The following is a 15,321-nucleotide window of genomic DNA, read 5'->3' on the forward strand; positions in this document are numbered from 1 at the left end:
CCCAGGTTCATGTGATTCTCCTGCCTCAGCCTCCTGAGTAGCTGGGACTACAGGCATGTGCCACCACGCCTGGCTAATTTTTGTATTTTTAGTAGACACGGGGTTTCACCATCCTGGCCAGGCTGGTCTCGAACTCCTGATCTTGTGATCCACCCACCTTGGCCTCCCAAAGTGCTGGGTTTACAGGCGTGAGCCACCACGCCTGGTCAAAAATTACACTTTTTTTTGTAGAGACAGAATCTTGGGAGGCTGAGGCAGGAGGATTCCTTGAGCCCAGGAGCTGGAGGCTGCACTGAGCTATGATTGCCACTGCACTCCTGCTTGGGTGACAGAGTGAGACCCTGTCTCAAAAAAATAAATAAAAATATAGATCTTGGACAGACGCGGTGGCTCACGCCTGTAATCCCAGCACTTTGGGAGGCCGAGGCGGGCGGATCACGAGGTCAGGAGATCGAGACCATCCTGGCTAACACGGTGAAACCCCGTCTCTACTAAAAATACAAAAAAATTAGCCAGGTGTGGTGGCGGGCGCCTGTAGTCCCAGCCACTCGGGAGGCTGAGGCAGGAGGATGGCGTGAACCTGGGAGGTGGAGCTTGCAGTGAGCCGAGATTGCACAACTGCACTCCAGCCTGGGCGACAGAGCGAGACTCCATCTCAAAAAAAAAAAAAAAATAGATCTTTTTCCATACAGAAGAAATTTGTTATTATCACAAGGTGTTGTCTGAGTGAAATGAAGGCTGTTTTCCTTCTCCTTCTGACTGCTCTCTCAGGGTTGTGGGAGGGGCACCAGGGACCCTCTGAGAACTTTGTTTTGCACCTGGTCATGTCCAGCTGACTCTTAGCTTGGCCTGTCTCACAGGTGTCTGACTCCGTGAGTGGACAGACCGTCGTTGACCCCAAAGGCTACCTGACGGATTTAAATTCCATGATCCCGACACACGGAGGAGACATCAAGTGAGTGCTTTGCAGAATCGCTGGGCTGGGATGGAGACTCTAGTTGCCTAGGGTATTTTGGATTTTATATGGACAGTATGCTGTCAAAATGGGACATGGCGGTTCTAAGAAATGTAAAGTGGAGTAGTTTGTTTTTTCCATTTGAAATGTATCTGTATCCATTCATTGCGTACACTCAATGTGTTACATATGATACTGCAAAGTCCCTGCCTGTGCTGGGCAGGAAAGCAGCTGGCTGTGTCCCACATGTCCCATCTGGACCTTCGGTTCTCAGCGTTTGTCTGCGGGGAGGCTACAGAGGCTTGGAATAGTGCGCACTGAGGTTTTGAGTTGGTTTTTGTAACTCAGGACATCAGGACTGATAGTTCTTACATTGTGACTGTGAAGTGGGTGCCCTCATCCCAGGTCTCGGGTGCACCCCTGACAGCATGGCCTGATGCCGTGTGCACTCTCCCTCTCATAGTGATATCAAGAAGGCGCGACTGCTCCTCAAGTCTGTTCGGGAGACGAACCCTCATCACCCGCCAGCCTGGATTGCATCAGCCCGCCTGGAAGAAGTCACTGGGAAGCTACAAGTAGCTCGGAACCTTATCATGAAGGGGACGGAGATGTGCCCCAAGGTGAGGTATTTCCTGGGAGGCGTTTCCTGGGAGGCTGCGTGATTGTGGCCCCTACGGGAGTAAACTTGTTAGAGCAAATCTCTTTGTCTTTTGGTATTGAAACTACAGACAATAGGGCAGGCTGGGGGAGGATGTGAAAAGCAGCCAAGGGCTTTTTCCTGCTTGTTTTCATGTGGAGTGAAGGCTAATCCACCACTTTTTTTTTTTTTGGAGACGGAGTCTCGCTCTGTCACCCAGGCTGGAGTGCAGTGGCACGATCTCGGCTCACCGCAAGCTCCACCTGCCAGGTTCACACCATTGTCCTGTCTCAGCCTCCAGAGTAGCTGGCACTATAGGCGCCCGCCACCATGCCTGAATCCACCACGCCTGAATCCACCACTGGTTTGACGGCAGGCTAAGCTTCATTATAAAGAGCTCAGTTGGTCAGCTCTTCACCCGCCTAATGGTGGCCAGTCACGGTGGCTCACGCCTGTAATCCCAGCACTTTGGGAGGCTGAGGCGGGTGGATCACTTGAGGTCAGGAGTTAGAAACCAGCCTGGCCAACATGGCGAAACCCCGTCTCTACTAAAAATATGAAAGTTAGCCAGGCGTCGTGACAGGTGCCCATAATCCCAGCTATTCGGTAGGTGGAGGTTGCAGTGAGCTGAGATTGCACCATGCTGCTCCAGCCTGGGCGACAGAGCGAGATTCCGTCTCAAAAAAAAAAAAAAAAACAACAAAAAAGAACGACCCGAGCAGATGTGCAGTCTCTGCTTTGTCCATGGAGTTGTCCTGAAGGAAATCATGCTCTTTTCACAAAGTGGTGTTTCATTTTTTTTTTTTCTTTTTTTTTGAGTCTCGCTCTGTTGCCCAGGCTGAAGTACAGTGGCGTGATCTCAGCTCACTGCAACCTCTGCCTCCCGGGTTCAAGCAATTCTCCTGCCTCAGCCTCCTGAGTACCTGGGATTATAGGCACCTGCCACCACACCCGGCTAATTTTTGTAGTTTTAGTAGAGACAGGGTTTTGCCATGTTGGCCAGGCTGGTCTCAAACTCCTGACCTCATGATCCACCTGCCTCGGCCTCCCAAAGGGCTGGGATTACAGGCGTGAGCCACCGCGCCCGGCCATTAGGTGTTCTTCAGTCAGACATATGGTAGCCATGTTCCCAAGTGTGGTTATAAGGGGGCGACTCCTGGTGCAGGTGTGTTAGAGGCTGAGCTAATTGGCTTTCGTAAATTCTGGGGCCCGAGGATCTGCTCTGGAGATCTGTGCCTGCTGCCCTGTTGCGGCTTCCAGCCTGCACTGAGCCTTATTGGTCTTATCTCTTGCCTCACAGAGTGAAGATGTCTGGCTGGAAGCAGCCAGGTTGCAGCCTGGGGACACAGCCAAGGCCGTGGTAGCCCAAGCTGTCCGTCATCTCCCACAGTCTGTCAGGATTTACATCAGAGCCGCAGAGCTGGAAACGGACATTCGTGCAAAGAAGCGGGTTCTTCGGAAAGGTGAGCCTCCCTCGGAGGTGCTGCTTTCTCCCTCCTTGGGGCCCCTCCTCTCAGCAGCTTTCCTGCTCCTGGCTCAGGCTTTTGGTGAGAGTGGATAAGGAACCAGGGACATTTTTCAGGCCTTTTCTCAGGCTGGGTTGCCTCTGCCCTTGGACCCCCATGGGGGAGGGATACTGTGGTGGGCAAGTTCCCATCCTGGAAGGGATGCTTGGGTTGAGCCCTCACTCCTGCCTTTTTCCAGTGTGTGATCTTGGATGCTTGGGCGGTCACTCTGGTCCAGGCTTCCCTCATCTGCAGGGTGAGAACAACGGTAGCTCAAAGCCTGTGTCCTGGGGCTCTGGAGATGGTCTGTGTGAAGAGCTGAGCCGGCACCTGGCACGTGCAGACCCGTTGTGGGTGTTACTCATTTTCTCTCCTGAGAAGGCACCAGAGCCACACGTTGATTGAACTCTTTCCTGCTGCTGACGAGGCTGTGCCTTCTGCTCCCGCGATGCAGCGTGTGCCGTCAGCTCAGGTCAGATAACGACAGACGGTGTGCCTACCAGGCAACCTGATTCCATCCAGGGATTCCTGCCAGGGTAGAGCTTTTGTGGGTAGTTTGTTTATTTTTATTACTGTGGATTCATAAAAGGAGCACTGTTTCTCCTGTCACTGGAAGTGTGTAGTAGATGCTGCTCTTGAACTGGGTCCAGAACGAGTGCTAGTCAGGGGGCTGTTCTGAAGCTAATCTGTGCAGGTGGCTTCTTTTTTTTCATTTTTTGTTTTTTTTTTCTGGTTTTTTTTTTTTTTTTTTTTTTGAGATGGAGTCTCGCCCTGTCGCCCAGGCTGGAGTGCAGTGGCGTGATCTCGGCTCACTGCAAGCTCCGCCTCCCGGGTTCACACCATTCTCCTGCCTCAGCCTCCTGAGTAGCTGGGACTACAGGCGCCTGCCACCACGCCTGGCTAATTTCTTTTTGTATTTTTAGTAGAGATGGGGTTTCACTGTGTTATCCAGGATGGTCTCGATCTCTTGGCCTTGTGATCTGCCTGCCTCGGCCTCCCAAAGTGCTGGGATTCCAGGCGTGAGCCACTGCACCTGGCCTATGCAGGTGGCTTCTATCCATTTTTTTTTTTTTAGACAGAGTCTCGCTTTGTCGCCCAGGCTGGAGTACAGGGGCACGATCTTGGCTCACTGCAGCCTCTGCCTCCCGGGTTCAAGTGATTCTCCTGCCTCAGCCTCCCGAGTAGCCGGGATTACAGGTGTGCGCCTCCATGCCTGGCCAATTTTTGTATTTTTAGTAGAGATGGGGTTTCCCCATGTTGGCCGGGCTGGTCTCAAACTCCTGACCACAAGTGATCCTCCTGCCTTGGCCTCCCAAAGTGCAGGGATTACAGGCGTGAGCCCCTGTGCCTGGCCTTTTCTTTTCTTTTTTTTTTTTTTTTGAGATGGAGTCTCACTTTGTCCCCCAGGCTGGAGTGCAATGGCACCATCTTGGCTCACTGCAACCTCCGCCTCCTGGGTTTAAGCAATCCTCTTGCCTCAGCCTTCTGAGGAGCTGGGACTACAGGCACCTGCCACCACGCCTGCTTAATTTTTGTATTTTTAGTAGAGACGGGGTTTCACTGTGTTGACCAGGCTGGTCTTGAACTTCTCACCTCAAGTGATCCACCCACCTCGACCTCCCAAAGTGCTGGGATTACAGGCGTGAGCCACTGTGCCCGGCCAGATTTTTTTTTTTTTTTTGAGACAGCGTCTTGCTCTGTCACCCAGGCTGGAGTGCAGTGGCACGATCTTGGCTCACTGCAGCCACCACCTCCCAGGCTCAGGCGATCCTCCCAGCTTAGCCTCCCAAGTAGCTGGGAGTATAGGTCCCACCCCCATGCCCAGCTATTTTTAATTTTTGGTAGAGATGGGATCTTGCTGTGTTGTCCAAGCTTGTCTCAAACTCCCATCCTCAAGTGATCCTCCTGCCTTGATCTCCCAGAGAGCTGGGATTACAGGCATCAGCCGTCGCATCCAGCCTATTCTTCCTGAATTTATAGCCTAGGAAAAATAAAGTGTATTTTATGGAATCAAGGGCAGTTTTCAGTGAGAGCTTTCCAGCTCTTGTTTTTCCAAATGTCTTTAAGCGAAATATCCCATTGAGGCTTCTGTGCTGATAGGACCGTGCAGATGAGGGCTCTTTGGTAGAAAGCCCCTTATCAAATATAGTTTCATTCACTTACTGTCTACGTCTGTTAGAAGACAGGTGAAGGCTGCTTGCCTGTGATGCATGTTCCCCCGACCCTGTGCACTCACATGTGAACGTGCTTTCCTCTGTCGAGGCTGGTTTCTTGACCGCAGCCCAGCTGCTCAGTGAATGCTCAGAGACAGCCTCTTTTATTTTTTTTTATTGAGACAGAGTCTCGCTCTGTCGCCCAGCCTGGAGTGCAGTGGCACGACCTCGGCTCTCTGCAAGCTCCGCCTCCCAGGTTCACGCCATTCTCCTGCCTCAGCCCCCCAAGTAGCTGGGACTACAGGCGCCCGCCACCAGGCCTGGCTAATTTTTTTTTGTATTTTTATTAGAGATGGGGTTTCACCATGTTAGCCAGGATGGTCTTGATCTCCTGACCTCATGATCCACCCGCCTCGGCCTCTCAAAGTGCTGGGATTACAGGCGTGAGCCACCGCGCCCGGCCAGAGACAGCGTCTTATAATGAGGTGGCCAGGAACAGAAAGTTAGCACCTGTCTGGGTTTGTAGAAATCAGTTTATCTTTTTTCAGCTAGGAAGAAATAGTTCTTTGATGAAGAGCCCATGAAAGTCTGGGTAATTAGTATTGTTTACTTAGAAAAGCTCTATTGAATTCTTCCTGCCACAGTTTGATGAATGATCATGAATGTCTTTGTGGCCACTCCCTGCTCACCACCAGATTGTCTGGGTTCATTTCCAGTTGGTTTGGATTTGGAGATGGGAGTATGCTGTTGGAGGCGGGGGCCTTCGGGGAGTGTTGAGGGACTGTGTTTCCACGGCTGTTCTCTCAGGGAGTGGCCTCCTGGCTGTGCTCTCTCAGGCAGAGAAGCTGGGCTAAGGTGGAATGAACCCAGGATCTCCAGGATGGCCTTTGCCGCTGCCCTAATACTGGTCCTGGCCTGCCCTTTCCCAAGAGTGTTTCCAAAAACTGTATTCTTTTCCTGGGGTGAAGCCCAGCACTGCTTCATTTGGTTATTAGCAAACACTTACACGTTGCTTGAAGGGTCTGGTTTTTGAAATTAAGATGACAGCTACTTCCACTGGTGACTTAGGACACCTGCCAGCCAGGGAGCCTGGCAGTGCATGGTCTCTGTGAGCTCTGGGTCGCTGTTGGGCTGAGCTGACACCTTAGTCCTTTGTTGGGAGAATGGGCGTTTTGGGTGCTGATCTTGAGACCTGAGGAGGCTGAGTAACCTTAGGCATGGTGCTTGGCCTCTGAGCTTCCATGTCTTCCTCTGTAAAAGGGAAGAGGGCTTTCAGGATTGGGGAGGGTGCAGCATGTGAGCTTCCTGGCCAGGGTGGGGTGTCCCACGTGCAGAGTCCCCTGGGGAGGCCCGACTGGCAGCTCCCCTACAATAATGCACTCACATGCTGTGTACTCCGCTAGTTAATGCAGATGTGTGGAAGTGGAGTTATTTTACACTAACGCCATATGCTCTGGCCTGTGAAGCGTGGCATCCTTCAGTGGCCGTCGCCAGCGTGTCCCTCTGGGGGCACAGGAATGGCACAGTTCAGGTTGAGGGTCTTCCCTGCAGTCACGTGACCCCCGGAGAGCATGTTGGCCTCTGCACGGTCACGTCTTCATGGCTGTGTCTAGCATTCAGAATACTCTTCTGTTCTAGGCCAACTTCAGGGGTGTGTGCTTCCTCCACTTCTGCTCATAAAGTCACACTCCTTGAAGGCCATTGTATCATGGTGTGCCATGTGGCTTCCGAAAGCACCTGGGGAAGGTGACCTTGTTGGTTTTAGTGCCATGCCTGTGGGCTGCTGATGAGATGCCATGGAGATATGTCAGCTCTCTCCCAAAACTTGAAGACACAGAGTCCTGGGAGTCGTAAGTTAATGACTCCATAAATTGAGTCCCGCATGAATATTCTGTTCTTTAGAGACGCGAAGTTCATCTCCACCAATGTACAAAGTATTAAGGGAAGTAGTTCATATTTAGACAAATAGAGCACTCATCTCCCACGCAGTCGAGGTGAGAGCGCACAGGAAAAACAACTGGGTCGTTCTGTGTCTTCTCTCTATGCCTAGTCGCCTGGTTGGAGGTTAGGACTTTCCTTCTTTACTGCTGTGCCCTCTGCTGTCACCCTGCTTGGTCAGGGTTCTTGACCTGGATGAGTAACCCAAATCTTTTTTTTGTTTTAGACAGAGCCTCGTCCTATTGCCCAGGCTGGAGAGCAGTGTTGCAATCAGCTCACTGCAGCCTCAACCTCCTGGGCTGTAGTGATCCTCCTGCTTCTGGCTCTTGAGTAGCTGGGACCATAGGTACATACTACCATGCCTAAATAATTTTTATTTTGAGACAGGATCTTGCTCTGTTGCCTAGGCTGGAGTGCAGTGGCATGATCATGGGTCACTGAAGCCTCAACCTCCCAGACTCAAACTATCCTCCAGTCTCAGCTTCCTGAATAGCTGGGACTCCAGGGACATACCACCATGCCTGGCTGAGTTTTTAATTTTTCAAAGAGACGAGGTCTCCCTGTGTCATCCAGGCTGGTTTTAAACTCCTGGGCTCAAGTGATCCTCCCACCTCAGTCTCCCAAAATGCTGGGACTGCAGATGGGGGCCACTGTGCTCAGCCAGGACCCATATCTTTATCCCCAAAGGGTCTGACTTGTTGGTAGTTTTGCTTTTTTGGTGGCTGTAGTTCCCATTAACTTTTACTGGTAAAAGCAGAAATACTAAACTGTTTTTAGGACTGGCCTCTAGATAGTCTCCCACAGTGGGTGGCAGCAACTCAGTCTCGCTTTGGGAGTCAGGGTTAGCCTCTCCAGCCAGGGCTGGTACATGAGGAGGCCAGAGGGAGCTGTGGTCTGCACCCTGGTTGGCACATACTCCCTTTGGAGTAGCTCGTAGCTTGCTCTTTTTTTTTTTTTTTTTTGAGACTGAGTCTTGCTCTGTTGCCCAGGCTAGAGTGCAGTGGCGCAATCTCGGCTCACTGCAACCTCCGCCTCCTGGGTTCAAGGAATTCTCTTGCCTCAGCCTCCCAAGTAGATGGGATTACAGGCACCTGCCACCACACCCGACTAATTTTTGTATTTTTAATAGAGATGGGGTTTGGTTTCACTGTGTTGGCCAGGCTGGTCTCGAACTCCTGACCTCATGATCCACCCGCTTCAGCTTCCCAAAGTGCTGGGATTACAAATGTGAGCCACCACACCCGGCCTTTGGACCAGCTCTCTTGACAGGAGGGTCCAAGGAGGCGGAGACGGGACTCTTGGCAGTGGAGACGGGACTTGTGGCAGCGGAGATGGGACTTGAGCCATTCAGACATCACTGTTTATTCCTAGACCCGTGTGTTCTGGCTGTGAGATCCAGCCGGGATTGGTGTCTATTCACAGCATTTGTGGCATCCTACTGGGCTGCCAGGCCATGGCTCTGAGTGATGGGCACATGGTAAGACCATGTTCTGCCTGAATCGGTGAATTCATATAGCTTCGTCTTCTGGCCGTCTTTCAGTTGGTCAAGTGGACATCCAGATAATAAGGCCAGGGGTGTCAGTGCCAGTGTGCTGTGCAGAACCATGCGTAAACCACAGCAGACTTTTGTCTTCTCAGTCCCTTGACCCTAAGGGACTCCCCAGAGGTTGTCAGTGTGGGCTGAGGGAGGAAAGCGGTTGAGCAGCCACCAGTGCAGGAGGCATCTGCCCCATAGCTTAGGCAGCTGTGCTGCACCTGCCTTCCTTCCACACCATCTCCTGGGTGCCATTTCCACCCTATGAGGCCACTGCTGCATCTGCCCAACCTTGTGGCTTGGTCTGTCAGTAACACCTGGAGTGGGCAGCAGGTTGCTCAGTCATTTTATGTCCCTTAGCTGAGTGTTCATTCCCTGCCAGGGCCTCACAGCCAGCCTGGGGCTGTTTCTCAGCAGGAGAGCAGGTACCTGCAGGAGAGCTAGCTCACTTGCCCTCTCCCCTCCCCGCCTCCCCTCCCCTCTGCCTCCCGTCCCCTCTTCCCCTCCCCGCCTCCGCTTCCCTCCCCGCCTCCCCTCCCCTGCCCTGCCCTTTTCCTCTTTTTTTTTTTTTTGAGACTGAGTCTCCCTCTTTTGCCTAGGCTGGAGCTGGAGTTCAGTGGTGCAGTTTTGGCTCACTGCAACCTCCACCTCCTGGGCTCAAGCGATTCTCCCACCTCTGCCTCCCAGCTAGCTGGAACCACAAGTACATGCCACCACGCCCAGCTAATTTTTGTATTTTTTGTAGAGACAGGGTTTCGCCATGTTGTCCAGGCTAGTCTCGAATTCCTGGGCTCAAGCGATCCTCCCACCTCAGCCTCCCAAAATGCTGGGATTATAGGTGTGAACCACCACAATCAGCTGCCTGGCCTAATTTCTTTTTCTTTTTTTTGAGTTGGAGTCTCTCTCTGTCACCCAGGCTAGAGTGCAGTGTCACAGTCTCAGCTTATTGCACCTGCGCCTTCTGGGTTCAAGCGATTCTCCTGCCTCAGCCTCCCCAGTAGCTGGGATTACAGGTGCATGCCACCATACCTGGCTAATTTTTGTATTTTTAGTAGAGACAAGGTTTCACTGTGTTGGCCACGCTGGTCTCGAACTCCTGACCTCAGGTGATCTGCCCACTTCGACCTCCCAAAGTGCTGGGATTACAGGCGTGAGCTACGGGCTGTACCTGGCCCGGCCTAATTTCTTAACATCATTAAATGTCTACTGCATTCATATTTTTCCAGCTGTCATGTCAGTACCTGCACGGGCACATGCATGCATAACCACATGCACACATGGTTGGTTTGAATCAGGATCTAAGCAAAGTCTGAACATTGCCGTTTGGTTGATGTCTTCTCTCGGTTTGTTGATGGAATTGGGTTGTTTTTCCTTGAGATTCCTCACATCAGGGTTTGCTCACTGCAGCCTGTGAGATTGTTTCATGTGGGTCTCGTTTCCTGTATCCTCTGTTTCCTGTATCCTCTTGTAAATTGGAAGGTAGATTTGGAGACTCATAAGAGTAAGCTTTGTGTTTTTTTTTTCTTTTTTTATCAAGGAAATATTCGTGGCAATGCAAGCAGCGTCAGGAGCTGCAGAGGCTGTCACTGCTCAGTGGCCCCAGTGTCCTTCATGGAGTTCTCCACAGCCTTTCAGCTCCTGCCTTTGGCAGTGGCTGGTGACCCGTGCCCGCATCTGTTCCTTCATTAGGGTGTGCAAAACGGTGACATTATAATTAGGTCACTCTTTGCTTTTATTGCCAGAATTATTCTTAAGAGAAGAATTTTCCTATATCCATGATTTGGTTATTCTGAGTTTATTTGGGAAAGACAGAATAGATATTTGATTTGCTTCCTTTCAACTTTCGGGATGATGCGTTGATTCTCTAGCATTCTCCAAAGGTGACTAATGGTCTCTTGGAGCTTTGTTATGAACTATTGAATGCTGTGGTATTTCATGGGTTTGAATACATTGCAGGTAATATTCTTAATATGCTTATTGACCTTCAGACTCTCTGATCATTGTCCAGTGGAAGTCTCTTCTAGTTTGCTCTTGAATTTTTTTTAAGTTTTAGGTATTTTTATTTAAGGGAAAACATGTAATAATGAGGTATTTTAGGTCGGGCGTGGTGGCTCATGCCTGTAATCCCAGCACTTCGGGAGGCCGAGGCGGGCGGATCATGTGGTCAAGAGATCAAACCATCCTAGCCAACATGGTGAAACCCTGTCTCTGCTAAAATTTCAAAAATTAGCTGGGTATGGTGGCTGCACGCCTGTACTCAGCTACTTGGGAGGCTGAGGCAGGAGAATCGCTTGAACCCGGGTGGCAGAGGTTGCAGTGAGCCGAGATCACGCCACTGCACTCCAGCCTGGCGACAGAGCGAGACTCCATCGCAAAAAAAAAAAAAAAAAAAAAAAAGAGAGGTATTTCAGACACTGGCATTTTTTCGTAAATATTTGAAGTGAATTACGTAGATCTTAAGTGTGCAGTTTGATGTCTTCACAAGTGCATGCACCCCTGTAACCCACACTCGACCAAGGCATAGAGCATTTCCAGGGTGGGCACCGTGGCTGACGCCCATAATCCCAGCACTTTGGGAAGCCGAAGCGGGCGGATCACTTGAGATCAGGAGTTTGAGACCAGCCTGGCCAATATGGTGAAACCCCGTCCCTACTAAAAATACAAAAATTAGCCAGGCGTGGTGGTGCGCACCTGTAGTCCCAGCTACCTTAGAGGCTGAGACAGGAGAATCTCTGAACCCAGGAAGCGGAGGTAGCAGTCAGCTGAGATCGTGCCATTGTACTCCAGCCTGGGCAATAGAATGAGACTCTGTCTCAAAACAAAAACAAAAACATTTCCATCCCCGCAGAAAGTCCCCTGGTGCCTCTCAATCAATCCATACTATCCCCATTCGTTGGCAGTCATGCTTCTGACTTATTTTACCAAGATTAGTTTTGCCTCTTTTCAGACGTCACATAAAGGGAGTCATATAGTATAAACTGTTTTGGGACTGGTTTCTTTTGTTCAGCATGTTTTTGAGGTTCATTCCCGTGGTCACTGGTTTCCTGAGTCCTGTTGATATGACCCTGGCAGTCTTCAGTCACTTCCTTGCTTTCTGCTACCACAAGATGCTCCGTTTGTCCTTGTTTGTGTCTGCCCCAGACCTGAAGGAAGCCACATAAAGGGCAGGTGTGTGGTCCCTGACTGTCAACCAGGGAAGTCCGTCTCATCCTGACCAGCAGCATGCTCACCACATGAGCCTCCTGTTTTTATCTCCTTTTCTGTGACGTGGTTTCTCGTTTGACCTTTCCTAGCCCTCGAGCATGTTCCAAACTCGGTTCGCTTGTGGAAAGCAGCCGTTGAGCTGGAAGAACCTGAAGATGCTAGAATCATGCTGAGCCGAGCTGTGGAGTGCTGCCCCACCAGCGTGGAGGTGAGTCTGGCGGGCTCAGGGCCACCAGAGCCCAAAGTGGCCAAGGCCTGAGCCCAGGTTCAGTGTCTGGAAGTGATGATACAAGTGGAGCATTGAGCTCACTCAGGCTGCAATTTCTGGGAGCAGAAGGCCCTGTGGAACCCCAGGATGCCGTTCTGTACATAGCCGCTAGGCAGGGTGGTCAGTGGCCTCAGCTAGCTGTGCTCTTAATGGACGTGCAGGGAGAATCTTAGCTCATACCTGACCACTGCAGAAAATTCTCTGTTGGGCAGTTGCTCAGGGGCCATTTCCTCTCAGCAGCCCAGAGTTTGTCATGGGAGCCGAAGGTGGCAGCGTGATAGAAAACATTGCTTTCTGTCAGCTCCGCATGACTGCTCTTTGCCTCTAAGCTAAGTGGGATTTCTTTGGTTTTAAGCATTCCAGTTCACAGCATTCTGTGCAGTGATTTTTAGTCTTGGTTTTATGATACCTAGTATGTCTTTAATTATCCTAAGGGGTATTGTGAAATTCTCCAAACAACATTAATCTTATTTTATTTACATAAAAATGAATAAAGCCCGTACACATCTTAGGGATGGAATGCTGCAGAACCAAGGGTCTGGGAACTTCAGGAGGCTGAACACCCTTCTGTGTGTTTAGCCTGTGAGGGCAGTAGCCTCATCCTGCTCGTCTGTGCCAGCCCCTGGTATCAGGTCTGGCGTGCTGTGTGCCTGGAGGCTGTGTTTGTGAACATTCAACTGAGAATCTTTTGATGCTCACGAGAGTCACTAAATGAGTCAGAAGCATAAAGGAACAGTTGGTCAGGTGAGAAGTGCTGCTGTGGACACTTCTCAGGCCATGTTCAGATGGTTCTCGAGAGCTAAGAAAGAACGTGGTGGCCAACGCTGGAGGGTGGGTCGCTGTCTGGCCTGCAGCTGTCCCCCCAGCACAGTGTCCTCTCCTTTTTCTCGTGTCCTCTCCGCGTAGCTCTGGCTTGCTCTGGCAAGGCTGGAGACCTATGAAAATGCCCGCAAGGTCTTGAACAAGGCGCGGGAGAACATTCCTACAGACCGACATATCTGGATCACGGCTGCTAAGCTGGAGGAAGCCAATGGGAACACGCAGATGGTGGAGAAGATCATCGACCGAGCCATCACCTCGCTGCGGGCCAACGGTGTGGAGATCAACCGTGAGCAGTGGATCCAGGTGGGCCGCAGGCGGGTGTCGTGGTGTCTGCTTTAACAGTGCACATGCAGCACGTGAGAGTCCCACGCAGGACTGGGGGTTGCTGGATGGTACTGGGGAGTCCTGTGCCAAACCAGAAGCAGGCACAGGTGTGAATGGGCCCTGAGGGACCTGGGCATGCCCACTGTCGCTCTTGATGGATTCAGGCCTGGAGTTCGTCTTGGGGTGAACACTTCAGAAGCCCTTTCAGTGTGTGCACACCTGACTGCATTTCTTTGCTAGTAGAAATGATACACCTACGAGAGGAGGACAGGAAGTCTCATGGCTTCTTTCTTTGCTAGTAGAAATGATACACCTACGAGAGGAGGACAGGAAGTCTCACGGCTTCTTTCTTTGCTAGTAGAAATGATACACCTACGAGAGGAGGACAGGAAGTCTCACGGCTTCTTTCTTTGCTAGTAGAAATGATACACCTACGAGAGGAGGACAGGAAGTCTCACGGCTTCTTTCTTTGCTAGTAGAAATGATACACCTACGAGAGGAGGACAGGAAGTCTCACGGCTTCTTTCTTTGCTAGTAGAAATGATACACCTACGAGAGGAGGACAGGAAGTCTCACGGCTTCTTTCTTTGCTAGTAGAAATGATACACCTACGAGAGGAGGACAGGAAGTCTCACGGCTTCTTTCTTTGCTAGTAGAAATGATACACCTACGAGAGGAGGACAGGAAGTCTCACGGCTTCTTTCTTTGCTAGTAGAAATGATACACCTACGAGAGGAGGACAGGAAGTCTCACGGCTTCTTTCTTTGCTAGTAGAAATGATACACCTACGAGAGGAGGACAGGAAGTCTCACGGCTTCTTTCTTTGCTAGTAGAAATGATACACCTACGAGAGGAGGACAGGAAGTCTCACGGCTTCTTTCTTTGCTAGTAGAAATGATACACCTACGAGAGGAGGACAGGAAGTCTCACGGCTTCTTTCTTTGCTAGTAGAAATGATACACCTACGAGAGGAGGACAGGAAGTCTCACGGCTTCTTTCTTTGCTAGTAGAAATGATACACCTACGAGAGGAGGACAGGAAGTCTCACGGCTTTCTTTGCTAGTAGAAATGATACACCTACGAGAGGAGGACAGGAAGTCTCACGGCTTCTTTCTTTGCTAGTAGAAATGATACACCTACGAGAGGAGGACAGGAAGTCTCACGGCTTCTTTCTTTGCTAGTAGAAATGATACACCTACGAGAGGAGGACAGGAAGTCTCACGGCTTCTTTCTTTGCTAGTAGAAATGATACACCTACGAGAGGAGGACAGGAAGTCTCACGGCTTCTTTCTTTGCTAGTAGAAATGATACACCTACGAGAGGAGGACAGGAAGTCTCATGGCTTCTTTCTTTGCTAGTAGAAATGATACACCTACGAGAGGAGGACAGGAAGTCTCATGGCTTCTTTTACTCTTCCCCTCTCCCCCACACCCTTTTTTTTTTTTTTTTTTTGAGAGGGAGTCTTTCTGTCACCCAGGCTAGAGGGCTAGAGTGCAGTGGCACGATCTTGGCTTACTGCAACCTCCACCTCTTGGGTTCAAGCAGTTCTCCTACGTCAGTCACCTGAGTAGCTGGGATTACAGGCACCCGCCACCATACCCAGCTAATTTTTGTATTTTTAGAAGAGACAGAGTTTCACCATGTTGGCCAGGTTGGTCTCGAACTCCTGACCTCAAGCAACCTGCCCGCCTTGGTCTTCCCTGTCTTTTATCTTTGTCTGTAGACTTAAGGCTATAGAAAAGTTTCCAAAGATGATCTAACTTAGGAAGTAGGGCTTGGGTTCCCTCTAATGCCTTCTTTTAAGGAGTCACCCACTGAGTTATGTTTCTCTCAAGAAAAATAAATAATGAAATTACTATTTTCTGTTATATTTTATGACAGTTTGTCTTTCTTTCCTTCCTTCCTTTCTTCTTCTTTCTTTCTTTCCTTCTTTCTTTCTTGAGACAGGGTCTCGCCGTGTTGCTCAGGCCGGAGTGCAGTG

The 15,321-nt window shown here is 50.6% G+C and overlaps 1 protein-coding gene across 3 annotated transcripts in view, besides 3 other annotated features; it reads left to right on the plus strand.

Moving 5' to 3' along the window:
* Positions 1-15,321, plus strand: part of PRPF6 (pre-mRNA processing factor 6) — a 51,969-nt gene that overhangs the window by 17,053 nt on the left and 19,595 nt on the right. For 2 of the 3 annotated variants that reach the window (XR_007067448.1, NM_012469.4), the window contains exons 7-11: positions 861-955; positions 1,419-1,575; positions 2,893-3,055; positions 12,016-12,134; positions 13,101-13,319. Coding sequence is in view for 2 of the 3 variants with exons in the window: in NM_012469.4 (NP_036601.2) it covers positions 861-955; positions 1,419-1,575; positions 2,893-3,055; positions 12,016-12,134; positions 13,101-13,319 (753 nt within the window). In the remaining variant the exon portion in view is untranslated. The remainder of the gene's footprint in view (positions 1-860; positions 956-1,418; positions 1,576-2,892; positions 3,056-12,015; positions 12,135-13,100; positions 13,320-15,321) is intronic. The other variant, XM_006723769.4, reaches the window with a different exon arrangement.
* Positions 1,467-1,969: an enhancer, noted in NCBI's record as "H3K27ac-H3K4me1 hESC enhancer chr20:62631004-62631506 (GRCh37/hg19 assembly coordinates)". NCBI's record gives its function as "activates a minimal SCP1, AML or CMV promoter by ChIP-STARR-seq in primed H9 embryonic stem cells {active_cell/tissue: H9 hESC(primed)}" and the evidence as "EXISTENCE:reporter gene assay evidence [ECO:0000049][PMID:30033119]".
* Positions 6,910-7,082: a silencer, noted in NCBI's record as "fragment chr20:62636447-62636619 (GRCh37/hg19 assembly coordinates)". NCBI's record gives its function as "represses an EF-1alpha promoter that drives an FKBP-Casp9 reporter gene in an ReSE screen in phorbol 12-myristate 13-acetate-treated (for megakaryocytic differentiation) K562 erythroleukemia cells {active_cell/tissue: K562(+PMA)}" and the evidence as "EXISTENCE:reporter gene assay evidence [ECO:0000049][PMID:32094911]".
* Positions 13,258-14,457: an enhancer, noted in NCBI's record as "BRD4-independent group 4 enhancer chr20:62642795-62643994 (GRCh37/hg19 assembly coordinates)". NCBI's record gives its function as "activates an origin of replication core promoter dependent on BRD2, P300/CBP, MED14 and CDK7 cofactors, and independent of BRD4, by STARR-seq in HCT116 cells {active_cell/tissue: HCT116}" and the evidence as "EXISTENCE:reporter gene assay evidence [ECO:0000049][PMID:35650434]".

This window comes from Homo sapiens, chromosome 20 (genome assembly GCF_000001405.40).
Source record: "Homo sapiens chromosome 20, GRCh38.p14 Primary Assembly".
Taxonomy (NCBI): domain Eukaryota; kingdom Metazoa; phylum Chordata; class Mammalia; order Primates; family Hominidae; genus Homo; species Homo sapiens.